General features: G+C 60.5%; 2 annotated features.

Moving 5' to 3' along the window:
• Nucleotides 1,261–1,848: an enhancer, noted in NCBI's record as "H3K27ac-H3K4me1 hESC enhancer chr9:115838681-115839268 (GRCh37/hg19 assembly coordinates)". NCBI's record gives its function as "activates a minimal SCP1, AML or CMV promoter by ChIP-STARR-seq in primed H9 embryonic stem cells {active_cell/tissue: H9 hESC(primed)}" and the evidence as "EXISTENCE:reporter gene assay evidence [ECO:0000049][PMID:30033119]".
• Nucleotides 9,150–9,651: an enhancer, noted in NCBI's record as "OCT4 hESC enhancer chr9:115846570-115847071 (GRCh37/hg19 assembly coordinates)". NCBI's record gives its function as "activates a minimal SCP1, AML or CMV promoter by ChIP-STARR-seq in naive H9 embryonic stem cells {active_cell/tissue: H9 hESC(naive)}" and the evidence as "EXISTENCE:reporter gene assay evidence [ECO:0000049][PMID:30033119]".

Consider the following 10,048-nt stretch of genomic DNA (forward strand, 5'->3'; position numbering starts at 1 on the left):
TTGGAAACATTGAGGACATTTCTTGGGACACACGGAGAAGCTGACCGACCAGGCATTTTCCTTTCCACTGCAAATGACCTATGGCGGGGGCATTTCACTTTCCCCTGCAAATCACCTATGGCGAGGTACCTCCCCAAGCCCCCACCCCCACTTCCGCGAATCGGCATGGCTCGGCCTCTATCCGGGTGTCACTCCAGGTAGGCTTCTCAACGCTCTCGGCTCAAAGAAGGACAATCACAGGTCCAAGCCCAAAGCCCACACCTCTTCCTTTTGTTATACCCACAGAAGTTAGAGAAAACGCCACACTTTGAGACAAATTAAGAGTCCTTTATTTAAGCCGGCGGCCAAAGAGATGGCTAACGCTCAAAATTCTCTGGGCCCCGAGGAAGGGGCTTGACTAACTTCTATACCTTGGTTTAGGAAGGGGAGGGGAACTCAAATGCGGTAATTCTACAGAAGTAAAAACATGCAGGAATCAAAAGAAGCAAATGGTTATAGAGAGATAAACAGTTTTAAAAGGCAAATGGTTACAAAAGGCAACGGTACCAGGTGCGGGGCTCTAAATCCTTCATGACACTTAGATATAGGTGCTATGCTGGACACGAACTCAAGGCTTTATGTTGTTATCTCTTCGAGAAAAATCCTGGGAACTTCATGCACTGTTTGTGCCAGTATCTTATCAGTTGATTGGGCTCCCTTGAAATGCTGAGTATCTGCTTACACAGGTCAACTCCTTGCGGAAGGGGGTTGGGTAAGGAGCCCTTCGTGTCTCGTAAATTAAGGGGTCGATTGGAGTTTGTCCAGCATTCCCAGCTACAGAGAGCCTTATTTACATGAGAAGCAAGGCTAGGTGATTAAAGAGACCAACAGGGAAGATTCAAAGTAGCGACTTAGAGTAAAAACAAGGTTAGGCATTTCACTTTCCCAGAGAACGCGCAAACATTCAATGGGAGAGAGGTCCCGAGTCGTCAAAGTCCCAGATGTGGCGAGCCCCCGGGAGGAAAAACCGTGTCTTCCTTAGGATGCCCGGAACAAGAGCTAGGCTTCCGGAGCTAGGCAGCCATCTATGTCCGTGAGCCGGCGGGAGGGAGACCGCCGGGAGGCGAAGTGGGGCGGGGCCATCCTTCTTTCTGCTCTGCTGCTGCCGGGGAGCTCCTGGCTGGCGTCCAAGCGGCAGGAGGCCGCCGTCCTGCAGGGCGCCGTAGAGTTTGCGGTGCAGAGTCGGGATCGCCTCTGGGGCAGAGGGTTCGAGCTTTTCCAAGGCGAGGGTGCTGGCTCCCGTGCGCACCTAAGGGCCCCCAGGAGCGGGCGCAAAGGGCGGCGGGCCCGCGGGCCAGGGCCCCGCAGCCAGCAGGCTGTCGAGCGTGGCCAGCGCCCAGTGCAGGGCGGCCCCGGCGTGCGCCAGCTGCCAGGTGAGCCAGGCGCGCTGCGAGGCGCTGGGCTGCGTGCCGCCGGCGGGCCCCGGGAGGAAGGCGCCCCCCGGGGCCCGAAGCTCGCCCAGGGCCACGTCCAGCCCGCCCAGGTGGTTGACGACTCGCGAGAGCGGGCACGGGAGGGAGACCCAGGCTTCTGGGGAGTGGCGTCGGCGGCGCTTTGGGGAGGTGGGTCGCTCCTCCCGGACGTCAACGCGGCGTTGCGGGCCGCTCGTCCTCCCTGGCGATCTAGGCCGGTGCTTTGGCTCCTCCAGGCGCCTCGGGCTGGGAACAGAACCTGCGCGGGAGACAGAGCGGGAGGTGTCAGAGGGACTGCGCGCAGCGCTAGGGGACCCATTTCCAAGGTCCCGAAGCCGCTCCCGACCCCGCCTCCCCCTGCCCTCCATCCCCCACCCCTCCGCGGCTCGCCTCCGCGCCCCATCCTCTCGGCCCCTCCCTGCATCCTGGGGACTCCGGTGCCCCGTCCGGGGTGCCCTCCCCTCCGCCCATTCAAACTTGAAGCACATCTCATCTGGGGCCACCGGGGGCCCGGGTTCCTGGCGCACTGAGGGCTTCCTCGGCCCCCTCGGGGCCCCCCACTCCCCGCTCCCCTTCCCGGGGCCCTGCGCCCTCCTCCCCACCCCTCCAAGCTCCCAGCCCCTAAACCTGCCTCCTCTGCGCTCGTGGGGGCGTCGTGCTCTGCCGGACTCGGGCTTGTCGTGGCCTCGCTCTCCGGCTGGGGCTGGTCGTGGCTTGACCTTCCGCCCTCGGTTTCCGGTTTCTCTGCCGGGACTGCGAGGGGAGCCGTCGGGGCTTCTCCACCGTTTGTGCCTGGACGCAGAGGCCTCCCGGCTGTGCCCGCTGGAAGCTGCGGGGGAAGAGGAGGTCGACAGTGAGTGGGCCATGACCCGTCCGTAGACGGCTGCGGGAGGGTTGCAAGGGCCAAGCTCCCAGAGTGACTTCAAGGCAGGAATGGCTCTGCTCCCAGGTGTCCCCCACCCCCTCCTCTTTCTCCAGCTGCCCAAGACCTCCAGGCCCCACTCCCCTGGTCCCTTCCTGTCTCCTCACTCTGGCTGTTCCCCAGCTGCCTGGCACCCTCCAGCAAACCCTCCTCCGCGGGCGCACCCAGAGGATGGCCCAGCTGGCGGAGCCACCCAGCACACAAAAAGTCTGCCTTTCTTTGACCTTAGGTTTCCCCACCACCTGCCGGATCAGGGCCCGTGGGGCGGGGGCCGCTGCCTTTGTCACCCCAGCTCTAACTCTCCTGCCTCCCTGGCCCCTGCCACCCCCTCCACACACCAATCCGCACAGACGAGACACTCGACCCTCACTCACCTCGTCCTCTCTCAGAGCCCTCCCGGTTCTTGCGGGTCTCCATCTTCCCCTGCTTTCCACAGGGAGGTCTGTCTTCTCCCGTCTCCTCAAAGGACAGCTTCCCCATCCAGGAAAGAGCTCTGTGTTCCCGGCGAGGAGGCTCTACCCTCTGGCAGCCTGAGCAGCGCAAGCGGGGCAATGGCCGGTTGGGCGCAGCCGGCGGGCTTTGATAGGGAGCCAGGACCCCCTGCTGGGAGTTCCCAGGAGGATTGGCTGCGGACACGCCCACAGGGGCAGGCTACCTTGATTAGGTTAGGCGGGTTGGAGGGGTTCCGCTTTCTCCCTGGGTCCCTGCCGCTCTGTCTCCGGCAAGTGATGAGCAATTTTGCGGAGTGGCAGAACAGAGACAAAGGTAGCTGTGGGCTTCACGGTAATTTCAAAGGAAGTGCCCTACTTCGTTGCCCATTTCGAAGGCCTCTCTACCTCTGCGTTGGACGATTTCTCCACTTCCTGGTGTGCACCTGCGTGTGTGCGTGCCTGTGTGTGTGTGTGTGTGTGTGTGCGCGCGCGCGCGTGCTGGGGTGTGTGCACACTATGCCGAGAGTCGGGCAAATTTCGAGTGAAGGGAGACCGAGTCCCGCAGGTTCTCTTGCTCCTGCAGTCTGCGGAGGAAAAACTCCTTTCTGGCACGGCGGCAGGAATCCATCTACCGACGTTAGGAAAGGACAGGGTGTGCTTTCGTCCCAGCTTAGTTTTCTATGGAGAAACAGGCAGCAGAGGAGAGTGGGCCAGAGGGCCACATTTTGCCCACGACCAGCCAGGTTTGAGTTGGTTCCTCCTAGGCCTCACGGTCTGATTTTCTCCTCCTCTTTGTGTACCCGACGGGTGTTGCTGTGAGCTCAGGACCATCCCGGCGGGCTGTGGATGGGATCATCGTGTGTGTATGGCCACAGCCCTCCGCCTCGCTCGCTCGGTGAGCACGTGAATCAAGGAAGGGGCACACGACTCTAGGCAGGACCCGGCGGGGTGTGGGGAGGAGAAACTCGGTAAGAGAAGAGAGGGAGAGGGAGACGTGCGAGGCGCAGGCTGTCCCAGGCGAGTCTGAGAAACGGCGTGCGCGGAGACGTCCGCCAGAAAGCAAGCAGGCGAAAGGAAATGGAACATCCGCAGGGCCGGTGCCGTGGGATCCGGTCACGCCCTGACGGCTTTCGGGGACATCTCAGGCTCGCTGTCTCTGCCTTGGACCTGGCGCAGAGAGGAGTGAGGCCTGAGGACAGGGCTGCGTGGCCAGCTGGGTGTGGGAGGTGCCAACACAGTAAGGGCTGGTCAAGGGGTGGCCGGGAGCGATACGGGGGGGTTGCTCAAGAAATCACCGCTGGAACTGGGATTCCAGTCCAGTGGGATACGTCCAGTCATCCCACTTCTGGACGTATCGCCTAAGGACACGAAATCGGGATGTGGTGCAAATATGTGTCCTGCTGCGTTGGTTGTCGGCACGCTACCTGTAACCAAGACGTGGAATCGACCTAAGTGCCCATCAGTAGATGACTAGAGAAGGACAAAGGAGTGGGGTTCGCAGAAGAAACACATCAGGGAAAGGAAAGGAGAGCCGGTCATCTGGGACGTCATGCACGGACCCAAAAGTCATGGTGCCCAGTGAAATCAGCCAGGCCCATCCGACCCGTATTGCGTGATCTCCTTGGGATGTGGGATGGAAAGCGGTGAGGATCGCGAAAGTAGAGAGGAGAAAGGTGGTTGGCCGGGCCTGGGGCCGGGGTAGGGGCAGGGAAAAGATGCCAATGCGAGATGTGGGTCAAAGGGCACAAAGTTTCCGAGAGGCAGGTGGAGTGCTTCCTGGATATCCGTGGCAGGGCAACGTGAGTACGGTGGAGCAGAATGTAAGGTTCTCGTGAATATACCCACGGGAGTAGAGCTGAAAATTCTCCCGACAGGGACAGGGGACGCATGTGGGGCGATAAGTGTGTGAATTCGGCCGATTCTAGTGAATTCCCTAATGAAGACGTCACACACGGTAAGTGTGTATCATATTTATTGTCATTCATACTTGAAGGCACCGGCGGGGGAAGGAAATAATTAAATCGCAAGACAAAACCTCCAAGAGAGATCACCTCGAAGAGAGTCTAACGTCCGTAGGAACGCTCTCGGGTTCACAAGGATTGACCGAACCCCAGGATACGTCGCTCTCCATCTGAGGCTTGCTCCAAATGGCCCTCCACTATTCCAGGCACGTGGGTGTCTCCCCTAACTCTCCCTGCTCTCCTGAGCCCATGCTGCCTATCACCCATCGGTGCAGGTCCTTTCTGAAGAGCTCGGGTGGATTCTCTCCATCCCACTTCCTTTCCCAAGAAAGAAGCCACCGTTCCAAGACACCCAATGGGACATTCCCCTTCCACCTCCTTCTCCAAAGTTGCCCAGGTGTTCATCACAGGTTAGGGAGAGAAGCCCCCAGGTTTCAGTTACAAGGCATAGGACGCTGGCATGAACACACACACACACACACACACACACACACACACACACGACTCGAAGAGGTAGCCACAAGGGTCATTAAACACTTGACGACTGTTTTCCAAAAACGTGGATGCAGTTCATCCACGCCAAAGCCAAGGGTGCAAAGCAAACACGGAATGGTGGAGAGATTCCAGAGGCTCACCAAACCCTCTCAGGAATATTTTCCTGACCCTGGGGGCAGAGGTTGGAAACATTGAGGACATTTCTTGGGACACACGGAGAAGCTGACCGACCAGGCATTTTCCTTTCCACTGCAAATGACCTATGGCGGGGGCATTTCACTTTCCCCTGCAAATCACCTATGGCGAGGTACCTCCCCAAGCCCCCACCCCCACTTCCGCGAATCGGCATGGCTCGGCCTCTATCCGGGTGTCACTCCAGGTAGGCTTCTCAACGCTCTCGGCTCAAAGAAGGACAATCACAGGTCCAAGCCCAAAGCCCACACCTCTTCCTTTTGTTATACCCACAGAAGTTAGAGAAAACGCCACACTTTGAGACAAATTAAGAGTCCTTTATTTAAGCCGGCGGCCAAAGAGATGGCTAACGCTCAAAATTCTCTGGGCCCCGAGGAAGGGGCTTGACTAACTTCTATACCTTGGTTTAGGAAGGGGAGGGGAACTCAAATGCGGTAATTCTACAGAAGTAAAAACATGCAGGAATCAAAAGAAGCAAATGGTTATAGAGAGATAAACAGTTTTAAAAGGCAAATGGTTACAAAAGGCAACGGTACCAGGTGCGGGGCTCTAAATCCTTCATGACACTTAGATATAGGTGCTATGCTGGACACGAACTCAAGGCTTTATGTTGTTATCTCTTCGAGAAAAATCCTGGGAACTTCATGCACTGTTTGTGCCAGTATCTTATCAGTTGATTGGGCTCCCTTGAAATGCTGAGTATCTGCTTACACAGGTCAACTCCTTGCGGAAGGGGGTTGGGTAAGGAGCCCTTCGTGTCTCGTAAATTAAGGGGTCGATTGGAGTTTGTCCAGCATTCCCAGCTACAGAGAGCCTTATTTACATGAGAAGCAAGGCTAGGTGATTAAAGAGACCAACAGGGAAGATTCAAAGTAGCGACTTAGAGTAAAAACAAGGTTAGGCATTTCACTTTCCCAGAGAACGCGCAAACATTCAATGGGAGAGAGGTCCCGAGTCGTCAAAGTCCCAGATGTGGCGAGCCCCCGGGAGGAAAAACCGTGTCTTCCTTAGGATGCCCGGAACAAGAGCTAGGCTTCCGGAGCTAGGCAGCCATCTATGTCCGTGAGCCGGCGGGAGGGAGACCGCCGGGAGGCGAAGTGGGGCGGGGCCATCCTTCTTTCTGCTCTGCTGCTGCCGGGGAGCTCCTGGCTGGCGTCCAAGCGGCAGGAGGCCGCCGTCCTGCAGGGCGCCGTAGAGTTTGCGGTGCAGAGTCGGGATCGCCTCTGGGGCAGAGGGTTCGAGCTTTTCCAAGGCGAGGGTGCTGGCTCCCGTGCGCACCTAAGGGCCCCCAGGAGCGGGCGCAAAGGGCGGCGGGCCCGCGGGCCAGGGCCCCGCAGCCAGCAGGCTGTCGAGCGTGGCCAGCGCCCAGTGCAGGGCGGCCCCGGCGTGCGCCAGCTGCCAGGTGAGCCAGGCGCGCTGCGAGGCGCTGGGCTGCGTGCCGCCGGCGGGCCCCGGGAGGAAGGCGCCCCCCGGGGCCCGAAGCTCGCCCAGGGCCACGTCCAGCCCGCCCAGGTGGTTGACGACTCGCGAGAGCGGGCACGGGAGGGAGACCCAGGCTTCTGGGGAGTGGCGTCGGCGGCGCTTTGGGGAGGTGGGTCGCTCCTCCCGGACGTCAACGCGGCGTTGCGGGCCGCTCGTCCTCCCTGGCGATCTAGGCCGGTGCTTTGGCTCCTCCAGGCGCCTCGGGCTGGGAACAGAACCTGCGCGGGAGACAGAGCGGGAGGTGTCAGAGGGACTGCGCGCAGCGCTAGGGGACCCATTTCCAAGGTCCCGAAGCCGCTCCCGACCCCGCCTCCCCCTGCCCTCCATCCCCCACCCCTCCGCGGCTCGCCTCCGCGCCCCATCCTCTCGGCCCCTCCCTGCATCCTGGGGACTCCGGTGCCCCGTCCGGGGTGCCCTCCCCTCCGCCCGTTCAAACTTGAAGCACATCTCATCTGGGGCCACCGGGGGCCCGGGTTCCTGGCGCACTGAGGGCTTCCTCGGCCCCCTCGGGGCCCCCCACTCCCCGCTCCCCTTCCCGGGGCCCTGCGCCCTCCTCCCCACCCCTCCAAGCTCCCAGCCCCTAAACCTGCCTCCTCTGCGCTCGTGGGGGCGTCGTGCTCTGCCGGACTCGGGCTTGTCGTGGCCTCGCTCTCCGGCTGGGGCTGGTCGTGGCTTGACCTTCCGCCCTCGGTTTCCGGTTTCTCTGCCGGGACTGCGAGGGGAGCCGTCGGGGCTTCTCCACCGTTTGTGCCTGGACGCAGAGGCCTCCCGGCTGTGCCCGCTGGAAGCTGCGGGGGAAGAGGAGGTCGACAGTGAGTGGGCCATGACCCGTCCGTAGACGGCTGCGGGAGGGTTGCAAGGGCCAAGCTCCCAGAGTGACTTCAAGGCAGGAATGGCTCTGCTCCCAGGTGTCCCCCACCCCCTCCTCTTTCTCCAGCTGCCCAAGACCTCCAGGCCCCACTCCCCTGGTCCCTTCCTGTCTCCTCACTCTGGCTGTTCCCCAGCTGCCTGGCACCCTCCAGCAAACCCTCCTCCGCGGGCGCACCCAGAGGATGGCCCAGCTGGCGGAGCCACCCAGCACACAAAAAGTCTGCCTTTCTTTGACCTTAGGTTTCCCCACCACCTGCCGGATCAGGGCCCGTGGGGCGGGGGCCGCTGCCTTTGTCACCCCAGCTCTAACTCTCCTGCCTCCCTGGCCCCTGCCACCCCCTCCACACACCAATCCGCACAGACGAGACACTCGACCCTCACTCACCTCGTCCTCTCTCAGAGCCCTCCCGGTTCTTGCGGGTCTCCATCTTCCCCTGCTTTCCACAGGGAGGTCTGTCTTCTCCCGTCTCCTCAAAGGACAGCTTCCCCATCCAGGAAAGAGCTCTGTGTTCCCGGCGAGGAGGCTCTACCCTCTGGCAGCCTGAGCAGCGCAAGCGGGGCAATGGCCGGTTGGGCGCAGCCGGCGGGCTTTGATAGGGAGCCAGGACCCCCTGCTGGGAGTTCCCAGGAGGATTGGCTGCGGACACGCCCACAGGGGCAGGCTACCTTGATTAGGTTAGGCGGGTTGGAGGGGTTCCGCTTTCTCCCTGGGTCCCTGCCGCTCTGTCTCCGGCAAGTGATGAGCAATTTTGCGGAGTGGCAGAACAGAGACAAAGGTAGCTGTGGGCTTCACGGTAATTTCAAAGGAAGTGCCCTACTTCGTTGCCCATTTCGAAGTCCTCTCTACCTCTGCGTTGGACGATTTCTCCACTTCCTGGTGTGCACCTGCGTGTGTGCGTGCCTGTGTGTGTGTGTGTGTGTGTGTGCGCGCGCGCGCGTGCTGGGGTGTGTGCACACTATGCCGAGAGTCGGGCAAATTTCGAGTGAAGGGAGACCGAGTCCCGCAGGTTCTCTTGCTCCTGCAGTCTGCGGAGGAAAAACTCCTTTCTGGCACGGCGGCAGGAATCCATCTACCGACGTTAGGAAAGGACAGGGTGTGCTTTCGTCCCAGCTTAGTTTTCTATGGAGAAACAGGCAGCAGAGGAGAGTGGGCCAGAGGGCCACATTTTGCCCACGACCAGCCAGGTTTGAGTTGGTTCCTCCTAGGCCTCACGGTCTGATTTTCTCCTCCTCTTTGTGTACCCGACGGGTGTTGCTGTGAGCTCAGGACCATCCCGGCGGGCTGCGGATGGGATCATCGTGTGTGTATGGCCACAGCCCTCCGCCTCGCTCGCTCGGTGAGCACGTGAATCAAGGAAGGGGCACACGACTCTAGGCAGGACCCGGCGGGGTGTGGGGAGGAGAAACTCGGTAAGAGAAGAGAGGGAGAGGGAGACGTGCGAGGCGCAGGCTGTCCCAGGCGAGTCTGAGAAACGGCGTGCGCGGAGACGTCCGCCAGAAAGCAAGCAGGCGAAAGGAAATGGAACATCCGCAGGGCCGGTGCCGTGGGATCCGGTCACGCCCTGACGGCTTTCGGGGACATCTCAGGCTCGCTGTCTCCGCCTTGGACCTGGCGCAGAGAGGAGTGAGGCCTGAGGACAGGGCTGCGTGGCCAGCTGGGTGTGGGAGGTGCCAACACAGTAAGGGCTGGTCAAGGGGTGGCCGGGAGCGATACGGGGGGGTTGCTCAAGAAATCACCGCTGGAACTGGGATTCCAGTCCAGTGGGATACGTCCAGTCATCCCACTTCTGGACGTATCGCCTAAGGACACGAAATCGGGATGTGGTGCAAATATGTGTCCTGCTGCGTTGGTTGTCGGCACGCTACCTGTAACCAAGACGTGGAATCGACCTAAGTGCCCATCAGTAGATGACTAGAGAAGGACAAAGGAGTGGGGTTCGCAGAAGAAACACATCAGGGAAAGGAAAGGAGAGCCGGTCATCTGGGACGTCATGCACGGACCCAAAAGTCATGGTGCCCAGTGAAATCAGCCAGGCCCATCCGACCCGTATTGCGTGATCTCCTTGGGATGTGGGATGGAAAGCGGTGAGGATCGCGAAAGTAGAGAGGAGAAAGGTGGTTGGCCGGGCCTGGGGCCGGGGTAGGGGCAGGGAAAAGATGCCCATGCGAGATGTGGGTCAAAGGGCACAAAGTTTCCGAGAGGCAGGTGGAGTGCTTCCTGGATATCCGTGGCAGGGCAACGCG

The sequence above is a fragment of the Homo sapiens genome, chromosome 9 (genome assembly GCF_000001405.40).
Source record: "Homo sapiens chromosome 9, GRCh38.p14 Primary Assembly".
NCBI lineage: Eukaryota > Metazoa > Chordata > Mammalia > Primates > Hominidae > Homo > Homo sapiens.